We start from the raw sequence: 15,197 nt of genomic DNA, 5'->3' as shown, positions 1-15,197 counted from the left end.
TGGCTGGGCATGGCAACTCATGCCTATAATCCCAGCACTTTGGGAGGCTGAGGCAGGAGGATCACCTGAGCCCAGGAGTTCAAGACCAGCCTGGGAAACATGGGGAGATGCCATTGCTACAAAAAATAAAAAGTTAACTGGATGTGGTGATGCACGCCTGTAGTCCCAGATACTCTGGAGGCTGAGGTTGGAAGATTGCTTGAGCCTGGAAAGTTGAAGCTGCAGTGACCCATGATCTTGCCACTGCACTCCAGCCTGGGCAACAGAGTGAGACCCCGTCTTGTCTTAAAAAAGTAATAACAGTTTCATAGGCCACATAAACATCTAGACTCATATAAATAAGATCGCCATCTTTCAGCTATAGAAATGCCATTTCATATTTTATTCAGTAGAATCAAGTGCATATTTATTTTATTATATTCACTCTGGTGCTAAGGAAGGAAAAAGATATATAGGTAATTACTGCCTGGCCACAGGACTTGATAGTCTAATTGGTTAGAAAGGATTAAGGAATACAAAATGATGTATTAATGATAAAATCCATATGTAATTAATACATTTCATAAACTAAATTATAAATTGTAGGAATGTCTTTCTTTGGGATTTGATATTTTTGTAGAGGAAATAATTGTGGAGGCAGCAGGAGGGATTAATAAACTTGATATCCAAAAATGACCTTTATCCTTTAGGTCCTAATGGTGCCAAATGACTTCAGTTATCCCTAAAATTCTTTATTCTTTAGATTGCAATTTAAGTAAATATTTAATTTTGTTTTAAAGAGCCTTTTGCAGTATACTGTAGGGGAAAAGAAAAATAGAACAGTGAAGAATTCCAAAGGGTTTGCTTAAATGGCTTAACTCCAAACCTGGATTCTTTTCTGCAAGATTGACTGTTTGCTGATTAGCCATAGAACTGAGGCATGAAGAACTAATCCCATGCATGAATCTACTGAAGCTCACCATTATATCATATTATAGAGCTATTTAAAGAAAAGGGTAGGGTACAGTATAGATGAAGTGCCTTCCTATCTAGGTAATCCAAGCAGTAGAACTTGTAGAAGAGCTCAGATTCCTATGAAAAGCTCCTACACTAGAGCTGATAAATCAGAAAATTGGGTCAGTCTAGGAATATTCAATATATATGTAAAGTCTTATTTTTTGAAAAGTATTGATTTTTTTAAAGTTTCATTAATCTGTTGAATAGATTTCATTACCTTGGAGATAACTTTACTAATCTTATGTCTGTCAGTCTTAAAAGCATTTAGTGAAATATTCTGGTATTCAAAAGTAACCCACAAAGTATTTTTCTCGTAGGGAGTATTTAAAAAAGAGGATGATATTGATCTGCTTGGTGAAGAGTTCAGGAAAGTATATCAACAAAGGAGTGAAATTTGTGAAGAGAAATGATATCATCAAAATTGGGTAAAGCATAGATTTTTTGCATGTTACCACTAGATGTCAGCATAACTTTTGTTTTACAGTTCAGTGGCATTAGGTATCCATTGTCTGTTTGGATTTTGTAAATCATCACTGAATTTCATAACTTGTAAACAATTATCAGATACAAATTAATTTTAATCAAGCTGTTATTTTTGTACTGATAATTTCAAAATCCGATTTCTACAACACTACAGAGCACTGTTTGCATCCCCATCCTCAAGACAGTATATTTACCTTGACTAATACAGAACTCTACCCCAAAGTGAACTGCCTTCTGTCTGTGTTTACGAACTTTACTTACTTGATTTAGCCAGGGAAATAAATATTTGGAATTTTCTTTTAAAGCATCTTTTTTGGTCTACTGTAAGGGAGGAGAATTATAAATGAAAAGAGTCAAGAATTTTATTATCTGATGTGCTTAATTGTCACGCTAAGAACTTAAAAAACAACTCAAAAAGAGCTAATAGCTAATCTCCTAAATCTAAAAAGGGAATTCTTTGAAATTATTTTGCTTTCATAATCAAATATATTACTTATGAAGAATAAAAATAATTCAAACCACTACAATAAGTAAAATGGGTATCCATCACATACTGTCATAGAGACTAACTGAAGTAGATCACTTATGAATTTCCCCATTCAAGTGCTTTCATAAATTCCTCCTCAGTGAAAGATAGCATCTTGGCAGCTTCAATATGCATCTGTTAAAAAAAAAATCAATATTGTCTGATTTAGTATTAAGAGTAGGCCACCAAACAACAGGAAGTTTGTAAAAATGTGTGGATAATATATTGTCAGAATATAAGTTCTGTTGTAGGAATGTATACTCTTAATTCCAATAAGCATGATATTTGAAATGGTATTGTCCAACAGTAGTACTGAACCAACTTACTTTTAAGATAATAATAATTCTATAATATTTTAAATACCTGACCTTTGCAAAGAAGGAAAGTGTCAGAACTATGAATTTTTAGAGAAAGCAGCAATAGTGGTTTGGAAGTGATGTTCGCTCTAAGGTTTGAAGAGGCAAACAGTCCCCTAATAGTCATTCTTTAATTTGGTACTTTCTGTAGTTGAGAAGTACCTATACTGTATTTTCCAGTCCCATTTTCTACACTAACTTACTTATGTGAAAATATCCACTTGCTTAGATGACACATATATCTCACTATAAATGTTAGATTTCATATGATTTCATATGTATGATGCATTTTATATGAAGTTCAGTGCGTAAAGATGTCAAAAACATACCTAAAGTGAAAAATGCTAAATTTTTTAGTAAGAAAGTTACAAATAATATGATGATTTAACTTTAATGATAGACTCACCTTTTGCCTTTTTAAAACATCAATTAATTTTAACTGTTTCTTGAACCCTATCATTAATTCTCCTTTTTGTTTTTCTAGCTTCTTGTTTTCTGATTTTAACACTTCAATTTTTTTGTGTTCTTCATTTGCTATGTCCTACACAAGGAAAAAAAAGTGCCATATATTTTTAATATACAGCCTCAATGGAAAGAATTATAGACTATCATCACAACAGTAATAAAAAGTACTTTCTTAAACTGAAATATAAAATTTTTGTAGATAAAAATTGCTTTCCATTACCGAATTACTGGAATTTGATAGCTTTTAGTCATGCTCAGGTATTTCCCATTTTTAAAAAATGTTTTTAAAATAACTCAGTTCTAATTCCAGTAATGGCAAAGTAGCTTGTATTGAACCAACATAAACTCTGGATTTATGAATTTTCAAAAATAATATATTTGAAAACATTTTAAAAACGTTTAAAAAGTATATTTGAAGGTGTAGATGAGTAATCAATAATAAGTAGAAACTGGAAGCGATATGATCCTTGAAAGAGCAGAAATACTGGTTGAGATCCACATTCAACTAGCTTCTTCTAAAAGCACTTTCCAGTTTGTGGGTTCACAGAGGTAAGAACTCAAGCAAAAAGTAGTAGTCTTATTGGACTGAGGAGTCAGAGAGCAGGGCTGCCAAGGTGGTACAAAATTCTAGAAAAACAGAGCCCTCAAAACATGCATACGTATTTCCCTCAAATGCTTGGCAGACATCTAAATACCATTTAGAGGGTGAGACTCCTAGGTACCTGTGAAAGGAAATGGCTGTGGCCTTTAGCTAAGCAGAGAATTTACCCACTTCCCATGACAAGCGGGAGACCAAGTTTGTAATCTTGGTAAAAATGGACTGGATAAGCTCTTTAGCAATTTGGGCAAAGCAGAAAAAGGGTCAGTAGAAATCATTACGTTTAGGAAGATCTATACTTGAAAGATTAAAGGAAGTCATTCATACAAAAGGAAAATGATACCAGAAGGAAATGTGAATCTCTGTACACACACATAAAAAAGATGGAGAAAAAAGAAATAGTAATGTGTAATCTTATGTATACATACGTGTGTGTGTGTGTGTTTGTGTGTGTGTATATATATATATATATATATATATATATATATATATACACCTTTTCAAAAAAAAAAAAAAAAAACACCTCTTTAAAAGATAAGAGTGTTGTCAGCAAAATGGTGGATTAGGAAGCTCCAGGCCTTTGCTTCCCCATTAAAAGACTGACTATATGATACACAGACCAAAATAGCTTTGGGAGAGCTCTAGAAACCAATCAGTCAGTCAGCAGCAGCAACCAAGAGACTGCCTAACTAAGAAAAGGCCATATTCAAAGCAGTAGGAAATGTCATGGTGTTTTGCTCACCCTTTACCCACATCCTCCCTGGCACAGCACAGTCAGGAAGAAGCCACCCAATTCCCAGTTCTTCCCTTGGAATGGAGGGAAAAGAGTAGACTTGCTTGCAACATTCTGGCTTTTCTGGGGCCTGCCTGAGGGACTGCTATCTGTCTTGCCTGACTCAGTACTGATGGGAACAGCTGCATCATTTGGATATCAGGTTGGAAGCTGCGGAAACAGGTGGTTGGTACCACTGAATGTGAGAGGTGTAGTGAGTCCACAGAACTGCAGGAACCTGGTGGCAAAAAATTATGGGCAGAGGAATAAAATACAGCATCTAAATCTCTGAGAAGAAGTAGTGAGATTTTTAGGTAATTAGGACATTTAAAAGAAGCCGTGTGTATGGAAAACTGGAATTAAAACACACAGGCCCAGGAAAGACACAACCCCAGAAAGGTTTGAGAGGACCTCAAGACTTTACACCATGCTGATTAGTGAAGGTCTTTGCTTGCATGCAGCCAGTCTGCAAGACTGGGAGAAGTGGCTGTTTTTTCAAACACCCGTTTTTCAATGTAAGATCACAAGACATTCAAAGAAACAGGGAAACATGGACCATATTAAAGGAACAAAATTAATATCCAGAAGTGTATCCTAAAGAAACAAAGGCTTCTCACTTATTTGACAAGGACTTTAAAATAACTGCCATAAATATGCTCCATGAGCTGAAGGAGAATATTGACAACTAAATGAAATCAGGGTACCTATATATTAATAAAATGAGACTATCAACAAAAATTACAAAAAAGAACCAAACAAATTCTAAAGCTGAAAAATACAGTAACTGAATGGAAAAATTCACTTGAAGGGTTCAACAGCAGAGCTGTACAGGTATAAGAAAGAATGAGTGAGCTTTCAGACAGGTCATTTGAAATGAGCAGGTCAGAGGAGCCAAAAGTAAAAGAATGAAGAAAAGTGAACAGCAGCTAAGGGAGACCATCAAGTGGGCCAATATGTATATCAGTGTAATCTTAGATAGAAAAGGAGACAAGTAACTTATTTGAAGAATAGCTGAAAAATTGCCAAATTTAAGGAAAGAAATGGATACACAAATACAAAAAGCTCCATGAACTCCAAGTAGGATAAACCCAGAGACCCACAGCAAGACACATTTTAATCAGTCGAGTGTCAGACAAAGAGAAAATCTTGACAGCAACAAGACAAAATGGCTCATCACATGCAAGGGAGCATCTGTAAGATTATCAGCAGATTTTTCAGCAGAAACTTTACAGGCCAGAAGTCAGTAGGATGATATATTTAAAGGGCTGAAAGAAAAAAACCTAGAAGAATACTACATCCAGCAAAGTGTCCTTCAAAAATGAAAAAGAAATTAAGACATTCCTAGATAAGAGCTGAGGAACTTCATTACCACTGTATTTTCCCTACAAAATCCTAAAGAAAATCCTTCAAGTTGAAACAAAAGGATACTAGACAATAATTCAAAGCTATATGCAAATATGAAATTCCCCAGTAAATGTAAATATTTGGACAAATATAAAGGCCTGTATTATTTTAATTTTGGTTGACAACTCACTTTTCATTCTTTCACTTTTCATTCTTTTCGAATTTAAAAGACAAAAGCATAAAAAATACTATAAATCTTTGTTAATGGGTACATAACCTAAAGATGTAATTTGTGACACCAGTAACACAAGGTAGGGCAGGGGCTGAAAAGGAGTAGAGTCTTTATATACGATTGAAGTTGCATCATTACACAAAATCAACTAAACAATAAGGCAATAAGGAAGGAAATGAGAGGGTAAAAGTCCTCAAGACATACATAAAATTGTGAACAAACAGCAACAGACCTCCCAAAAACTTTAAATGTAAATGGACAAAACTCCCTAACCAAAATAAATTGAATGGAAGAATGGATTTTTAAAAACCAAAATCCAACTATATGCTGTCTACATGCAACTAACTTTAGATCCAGAGATATGCATAGGTTTAAGGTAAAAAGATGGAAAAAGATAATCTGAAATTTTGTAACCAAAAGAACACAGGAGTGACTACAGTAATATCTGACAAAATAGACTTTAAGTCAAAACTGTTAAAACATACCAAGAAGGACATTATATAAGAACATATGGGCCAAACAAAAGGGCCAGTTCAGCAAGAAGATAGATACAATTATATATGTACCAAACATTAAAGTGCCTAAATATATGAAGCAAGCATTGACAGACTTGGAGAAAAGACTACTCTATAGTAAAAGTAGACTTCAATACCCCACTTCCAATAATCAATAGAATCACCGGATGGAAGACCAATAAAGCAATAAGGGACTTGAACAACATTATAGACCAATTAGATTTAAGAGACATAAAGAGTAGTCCTCTAACACAAAGGCATAAGAAGGATATAATGGACTCTAGGGACTTGTGGGGGAAGGGTGAGAGGGATAAAAGACTACACATTGGGTTCAGTATAGACTGCTCGGGTGATGGGTGCACCAAAATCTCAGAAATCACCACTAAAGCACTTATCTGTGTAACCAACACCACCTGTTCCCCCAAAACGATTGAAATAATAAAGAAAAAATATAATCATATACCAGAACAGACAAATATGGAGAGACAGGAAGTAGATTAGTGGTTGCCTAGGGCTAGAATGTGGTGCAGGGTGTTGGGGGAATATAGAGTGGCTGTGAATGGGTACAGACGTTCTTTTTGGGGTGATAAAATTGCAAAATTGATTGTGGTGATGGTTGCACAACTTTGTGACTACTAAAAACAAACTTATTTGTATATTTTAAGTGGGTTGCATGGTATATGAATTGTATCTCAATAAGATGTTAACGAAAAAAATAAGAGAATACAGTTTTCTCAAGTGCACATGGAACATTCCCCACATTTTATAAGTCATACAAAGTATATTTTCCAATCACAGTTGATTCAAACTAGAAATCAACAGCGGACGGAAAACTGGAAAATCCACAAATATGTGGGGATTGAACAAAACACTCAAACTACCAAGGGGTCAAAGAAGAAATCACAAAGCAAATTGGAAAATATCATGAGGCAAATGACAACAAAGCTACAATACACCAAAACTTATAGGACAGAGTATAAGCACTGCTAAGAGGGAAATTTGTAGTTGTAAATGCTTACATTAGGAAAGAAGATTTCAAATCAACCTGACTTTACACATCAAGGAACTAGCATTTCACTTTTCTCTAGGAGACATTGATATCTGTATACCCTTGTTCAAAGCAGTGCAACTCATACTAGCCAAAAGGTTGGGAAGCAGCTCAACTGTCCACTGATGGATGAATAAACAAAATGTGGTATGTAAATACAATGATTATTAAGCCTTAAAAAGGAATGAAATTCTGACACATGCTACAACTTTGATCAACCTTGAGAACATTATGTTAAGTGAAATAAGCCAGTTAAAGAAAAACAAATATGGTATAATTCTACTGACGTTTACTTCCTAGAGCAGTCAAATTTATAGAGACAGAAAGTACAATGGTGGTTGCCAGGGTCTAGAGGGAGGTGGAAATGGGGAGTGGCTTAATTGGTAGAGAGTTTCAGTTTTTGCAAGATGAAAAGAGTTCATGGATAGGTTGTATAACAGTGTGAATCTATGTTACACTACTGAACTATATGCTTAAAATGTTTAAGAAGGTAAATCTTATGTGTAGCTTACCACAATTAAAAATTTTTAAATTAACAATGTAGAGTTTATAGATAAAACATATGACAATAGCAGAAAGGGTGGGGGGTAATGGAAGTATACTGCTAAAAGGCTCTTAAATTATTCATAAAATGCTATATTACTTGGAGGTATACAGTGATAAACATATATATAACAAATGCTGAAATGCATACAAAGAAGTACAGATAATGATCTAATAAAGGAGATAAAATGGAATCTTTAAAAAAGCAATTCAAAAAGAAGGGAAAGAAAACATACGGGCCAACTAAAACAACAGCTAGCTAATAGAGTTAATCCCAACCATATTATTAATCATTTTAAATATAATGGTGTAAGCACCTCAATTAAAAAGAGACTGTCAGATTGGATTTTTTTATTTTTTTATTTTATTATTTTTTTAATTATACTTTAAGTTTTAGGGTACATGTGCACAATGTGCAGGTTAGTTACATATGTATACATGTGCTATGCTGGTGTGCTGCACCCATTAACTCGTCATTTAGCATTAGGTATATCTCCTAATGCTATCCCTCCCCCCTCCCCCCTCCCCACAACACTTTTACACTGTTGGTGGGACTGTAAACTAGTTCAACCATTGTGGAAGTCAGTGTGGCGATTCCTCAGGGATCTAGAACTAGAAATACCATTTGACCCAGCCATCCCATTACTGGGTATATACCCAAGGGACTATAAATCATGCTGCTATAAAGACACATGCACACGTATGTTTATTGCGGCTCTACTCACAATAGCAAAGAGTTGGAACCAACCCAAATGTCCAACAATGATAGACTGAATTAAGAAAATGTGGTACATATACACCACGGAATACTATGCAGCCATAAAAAATGATGAGTTCATGTCCTTTGTAGGGACATGGATGAAATTGGAAATCATCATTCTCAGCAAACTATCGCAAGAACAAAAAACCAAACACCGCATATTCTCACTCATAGGTGGGAATTGAATAATGAGAACACATGGACACAGGAAGGGGAACATCACACTCTGGAGACTGGATTTTTTTAAAAAGCAAAGTCAACTAGATGCTGCTAATGAGAAGACACAAAGGAGTTACAAATAAAAGAATGGAAAAAGACAAGACAATGCTAACACGAACTAAAATAAAGCTTGAGTTGCATGAATATCAAACAAAGGTAATACAGGTTGAGTATCCCTAATCCAAAAGTCTGAAATCCAAAATGCTCTAAAATCTAAAACTTTTTGAGTGCTGACATGATTCTCAAAGATGAAATGTCCACTGTAGCATTTCTAAAACACTTCTGGTCCCAAGCATTTCTGATAAGGGATACTCAACCTGTATCAGAATGCAGCAACAAAAATAAATATAAATAAATAATAAGAGGTCAATTCATTCAAGAGGATTTAACAATCTTCTTAGATACTGGGTATTAATATAGCTAATAACCAAGTCTCAAAATACATGATGCAAAAATTGTTAAGACTGAAAGGGAAAATAGACAAACTCACAGTTCTATTCAGAGTTTAGTACCCCTCTCTTGATCATTGATAGAACAGGGACACAGAAAATACATAAGATACAGAAGTATTGAACAACACTATCAAGCAATTTGACATAATTGACATTTATAGAATACTCCACCTAACAAATACAGAATGCACATTCCTATCAAGGGCACATGAAATATTTCCCAATTTAAACCATATTCTGGGCCAAAAAAAAGTATCCATAAATTTAGAGTGATTCAAATAAAACCAAATGCATTCTCTGTCCACAATGGAATTAAAAATCAGTAAGAATGGTATCTGGGGAAAATCCCTAAGTATTTGAAAAATGAAATGACAAACTCGTAAAGTTTGTCATGGCTCAGAGGAAATAAAAAAGAAAATTAGAAAGTATTCTGAATAGAATAAAAATGAAAATACAAAAAATCAAATTTGGTGGGAAGTAGCTAAGGAAATTCATAGAGAAACATTTACAGTGTTTAAATGCTTATATTAGCAAAGAAGAAAGCGTACAAATCAACAGTCTCCACTTCCATTTTAAAAATTAGAAAAAGAGGCCAGGCGTGATGGCTCACATCTGTTTAATCCCAGCACTTTAGGAGGTCAAAGCGGGCAGATCACGAGGTTAGTAGTTCGAGACCAGTCTGGCCAACATGGTGAAACCCCATCTCTACTAAAAATACAAAAATTAGCCGAGCATGGTGGCGGGGGCCTGTAATCCCAGCTACTCAGGAGGCTGAGGCAGGAGAACCGCTTGAACCTGGGAGGCGGAGGTTGCAGTGAGCCAAGTTTGCGCCACTGCACTCCACCCTGGGCAACAGAGCAAGACTCTGTCTAGGGGAGAAAAAAAAAAGAGAAAAGAGAAAAAGAACAAATTGAACCCAAAAGTAAGGAGAGGGAAAGAAATAGAAGAGCAGAAATCAATAAAAAAAATAAAAAATCAGTAGAGGAAAATCAATAAAACCAGAATTAGTAAACCTCTAGTAAGACTGATCAGAAAAAGTAAAAAAGACACAAATTACCAATACAAGAATGAGAGGGGGGAATGACCCACAGGAATGTAGGAGGAATATTCAGAGGACAATAAGGAACTAGTGTAAAAAACTGTATGCCAGTAAATTTGACAACATAAACGAAATGAACAGATTCCTTGACAGATGTAAGCACCCAAAACACAATAAAATATAGCCTCTATAAGGAATACTTCTGTATCTATTAAAGAAATTGAATTTGAAGTATAAAATCTTTCCACAAGAAAACCTCAGGCCCAGACGGCTTTACCTGTGGACTCTACCAGACATTCAAAGAAAAAATAATACCAACCCTACAAAAACTTATCTGAAAGTTGAGCTTCTCCAGAAGAATGATTTGGAAGTTCATTTAATAAAGGCAGCATTACCCTGAAACCAAAACCAAAACAAATTCAAACCAAAAAACCTAAAGATGAAAATAATGTATAAGAAAACTAAATCAAGACTACAGACTAAACAGACTAGCACTATGTTCCCATGTATACAGACATTCACAAAAAAGTAACCAATAATATATAAAAGAGATAATGACACACCATCACCAAGTGCAATATATCCCAGGAATACAAGGTTGTTTTAACATTTGAAAGACTAAAAAAAGAAAAATATAATTTCAATAGATACGGGAAAAAGCATTTGACAAAATTCAACATCCATTCCTGGTAAGATCTCTCAGGAAACTGCAGTCAGTTTTTCTAAAACTTGTGAACTAAAAATGATTTATTTTGAAGGTGTTAAATAAATTTTAAAAAAGAAAACCAGTGAAGAATACACAAGGGACCATATGTAGCCCACAAAGCCAAAGCATTTACTAGTTGGTCCTTTACAGAAAAGGTCTGTAGAAAATCCTAAGGCTTCTAGAATAAGTGAGTTCAGCAAAGTTGAGGATATAGACTCAATATGCAAACATAAATTGTATTTCTCCATTATAGCAACAAACAATGGGAAACTGGAATTTAAAGAACATTTATAACATCAAAAAACGGAAACACTAAGAGATAAGTTTGAAAAAAAAGTGTGTAAAACCTGTATTCTGGAAACTATATATATATAAAAGCTGCTTGGAAAAATTGAAGAAGGCTTAAATAAACAGATTTTCTCTATTCATGACTTTAAAGACGCTATTAAGATGTCAATTTTCCCAAAACTGATCTATAGATTCAACACAATGCCTATCAAAACTCCAAATGTGATTCTAAAAACTTACATGGAAATGCAAAAGAACTATAGTAGCCAGTTGTGTTATAATAAATGCTCATTGGATGTTTTTAAAAAAGGCATTTATTGGCTTGGTTACTTGCTCAAAGCACCATATACTTTCCACAGCATTTATTGCAGTTGCACCTTAGCTTTGATAGATTATCTAAATTCGATAATTATCTAGGTGTTGCTTCATGGATTATCTAAACATTCAATTTCATTATAAGATAGGTGCACAGCTACAAGGATCACATCTGTTTTTTTGTTTTTTGGTTTTTTTTGAGACAGAGTCTCGCTCTGTCACCCAGGCTGGAGTGCAGTGGTGCAATCTTGGCTCACTGCAAGCTCCACTTCCCAGGTTCATGCCATTCTCCTGCCTCAGCCTCCCAAGTAGCTGGGACTACAGGCGCCCACCACCACGCCCAGCTAATTTTTCAATATTCTTAAAGAAAAAAAAAAAGCCCTCAAGAATTTCATATTAAGCCAAACTAAGCTACCTAAGTGAAGGAGAAATAAGATCCTCTTCAGATAAGTGAATGTTGAAGGAACTCTTTACCACCAGACCTGCCTTACCAAAGCTCTTGAAAGAAGCATTAAACATAGAAAGCAAAGACCACTACCAGCTAAGACAAAAACACATTTAACCACACAGATCAATGTCACTGTAAAGCAATTACACAAACAAGTCAACCTAATAACCAGCTAACAGCACAACAGCACGATCAAATCCACACATATTAATACTAACCTTGAATATAAACAGTCTAAATGCCCCACTTAAAAGGCATGGAGTGACAAGCTGGATAAAAAAGCAAGACTCAAATGGTATGCTGTCTTCAGAAGACCCATCTGACATTTAATGACTCTCATAGGCTCAAAATAAAGGGATAGAGGAAAATCTACCAGGAAATAGAAAACAGAAAAAAGCAGGGGTTGCAATTCTAATTTCAGACAAAACGTTTCAAACCAACAAAGATCAAAAAAGACAAAGAAAGGCATTACAGAATGGTAAAGTGTTGAATTCAGTAAGACCTAATTAGCCTAAATATACATGCACACAACACAGAAGCACCCAGATTCATAAGGCAAGTTCTTAGAAACCTACAAAGAGACATAGACTCTCACACAATAATAGTGGGAGACTTCAACTCTCCATAGTATTAGACAGATCATCGAGGTAGAAAATTAACAAAGATATCTGGAACCTAAACTCAGCACTGGACCAAATGGATATGATACCTTTACAGAACTCTGCACCCAAAAACAACACAATATACATTCTTCTTAGTGCCATATGGCACATACTCTAAAACTGACCACATAATTGGACAAAAAACAATCCTCAACAAATGTAAAAGAACGAAATCATACCAAACACACTCTTGGACCACAGCACAATAAACTGGAGTCAAGACTATGAAAATCACTCAAAACCATGCAGTTACATGGAAATTAAACAACACGCTCCTCAATGACTTTGGGGTAAATAATGAAATTATGTCAGAAATAAAAAAGTTGAAAATAACAACAAAGATATAACATACCAGAATCTCTAGAACACAGCTAAGGGAGAGTTAAGAGGGAAATTCATAGCACTAAACGCCCACATCAAAAAGTTATAAAGATCTCAAATTAACAACGTAACTTCACAACTGAAAGAATTCAAGAAGCAAGAAGAAATCAACCCCAAAGCTAGCAGAAGATGAGAAATAACAAAAATCAGAGCTGAACTGAAGGAAATCAAGACATGAAAAACCAGTCAAAAGATAAATGAATCCAGGAGCTGGTTTTTTGAAAAAATTAATAAAATAGGCCACTAGGTAGACTAGTAAAGAAGAGTGAAGATTCAAATAAACACAATTAGAAATGACAAAGGGAATGTTACTACTGACCCCACAGAAATAAAAACAACCATCAGAAACTACTATGAACACCTCTATGCACACAAACTAGAAAACCTAGAAGAGATGGACAAATTCCTGGACATGTACACCCTCCCAGGACTGAACCAGGAAGAAACTGAATCCCTACACAGACCAATAATGAGCTCCAAAACTGAATCAGTAATAAATAGCCTACCAATCAAAAAAAGCCTGGGACCCAGTGGATTCACAGCCAAATTCTACCAGATGTACAAAGAAAAGCTGGTACCATTCTTACAGAAACTATTCCAAAAAACTGAGGAGGGACTCCTCCCCAACTCATTCTATGGGGCCAGCATCATCTTGATACCAAAACCTGGCAGACAGACAACCAAAAAAGAAAACTTCAGGCCAATATCCTTGATGAACACTGATACAAAAATCCTCAACAAAATATTTGCAAACCAAATCCAGGAGCAAATCAAAAAGCTTATCTACCATGATCAAGTAGACTTCATTCCTGGGATACAGGGTTGGTTCAACATGTATAAATCAATAAATGCAATTTATCACATAAACAGAATTAAGACAAAAACCACGATTACCTCAATAGATGCAGAACAGGCTTTCAATAAAATTCAACACCCTTTATGTTAAAAACTCTAAATAACATAGATATTGGAGGAACAGACCTCAAAATAATAAGAGCCATCTATGGCAAACCCACAGCCAACATTATACTGAATGGACAAAAGCTGGAAGCATTCCCTTGAAAACTGTCACATGACAAGGATGCCCTCTCTCAACACTATTCAACATAGTATTGGAAGTCCTAACCAGAGGAATCAGGCAAGAGAAATAAAGAGAGGGCATCCAAATAGGAAGTCAAACTATCTGTTTGCAGACGGCGTAATTCTATATCTAGAAGACCCCATAGTCTTGTCCCAAAAGCTCCTTTTGGCAGATAAACAACTTCAGCAAAGTTGCAGGATACAAAATCAATGTACAAAAATTACTAGCATTCCTATATACTAACAACAGCCAAACCAAGAGCCAAATCAGAAAAGCAATCCCATCCCCACTTGCCACAAAAAGAATACCTAGGAATACAGCTAACCAGGGAGGTGCAAGATCTCTACAATGAGAATTACGAAACACTGCTCAAAGAAATCAGAGAAAACACAACGGGAAAAAACATCCCATGCTCACTGATAGGAACACTTATTAAAATGCCTATACTGCCCAAAGCGATTTACAGATTCAATGCTATTCCTATCAAACTACCAGTGACATTCTTCACAGAATTAGAAAAAACTATTTAAAAATTCACATGGAACCACAAAAGAGCCTGAATAGCCAAGGCAATACTAAGCAAAAAGAACAAAGTTGGAGGCACACTGTGTGACTTCAAACTATACTACAAGTCTACAATAACCAAAACAGCACATGGTACAAAAACAGGTACTGTTACAAAAACAGGCACATAGACCAATGGAACAGAGTAGAGGGCCCATAAATAAGGCCGCACATCTACAACCGTCTGATCTTCAAACCTGACAAAAGCAATGGGAAAGGGCTCCCTCTTCAATAAATGGTGCTGGGATAACTGGCTAGCCATTTGCAGAAGACTGAAGCTGGACCCTTTCCTTCCACCTTATACAAAGACCAACTCAAGATGAACTAAAAACTTAAATGGAAAACCCAAAACTATAAAAACCCTGGAAGACAACCTAGGCAATACCATTTTGGACATAGGAACG

At 35.3% G+C, this 15,197-nt stretch overlaps 2 protein-coding genes across 34 annotated transcripts in view; one reads left to right on the top strand and one right to left on the bottom strand.

Annotated features, from left to right (window-relative positions):
- The window catches only part of MNS1 (meiosis specific nuclear structural 1), a 36,414-nt gene extending 34,631 nt beyond the window's left edge, over positions 1-1,783 (top strand). Inside the window, exon 10 of the mRNA NM_018365.4 lies at positions 1,314-1,783. Within this exon, the coding sequence (NP_060835.1) occupies positions 1,314-1,406 (93 nt within the window). The 3' untranslated portion in view covers positions 1,407-1,783. The remainder of the gene's footprint in view (positions 1-1,313) is intronic.
- The window catches only part of TEX9 (testis expressed 9), a 216,038-nt gene that overhangs the window by 29,504 nt on the left and 171,337 nt on the right, over positions 1-15,197 (bottom strand). For 21 of the 33 annotated variants that reach the window (NR_169563.1, NR_169561.1, NR_169560.1 and 18 more), the window contains 2 exons: positions 2,768-2,902; positions 353-2,140 (listed from right to left, as the gene is read on the bottom strand). Coding sequence is in view for 29 of the 33 variants with exons in the window: in NM_001385041.1 (NP_001371970.1) it covers positions 2,063-2,140; positions 2,768-2,902 (213 nt within the window). In the remaining 4 variants the exon portion in view is untranslated. Of the gene's footprint in view, positions 1-352; positions 2,141-2,767; positions 2,903-10,667; positions 10,745-15,197 lie in introns of those variants that run through there. The other 12 variants (NM_001385043.1, XM_047432466.1, NM_001286449.2 and 9 more) reach the window with 4 other exon arrangements.

This window comes from Homo sapiens, chromosome 15, assembly GCF_000001405.40.
Source record: "Homo sapiens chromosome 15, GRCh38.p14 Primary Assembly".
NCBI classification, from domain to species: domain Eukaryota; kingdom Metazoa; phylum Chordata; class Mammalia; order Primates; family Hominidae; genus Homo; species Homo sapiens.
The sequence above is the reverse complement of the archived record's forward strand: the minus strand, read 5'-3'. Positions and strand labels throughout refer to the sequence as shown.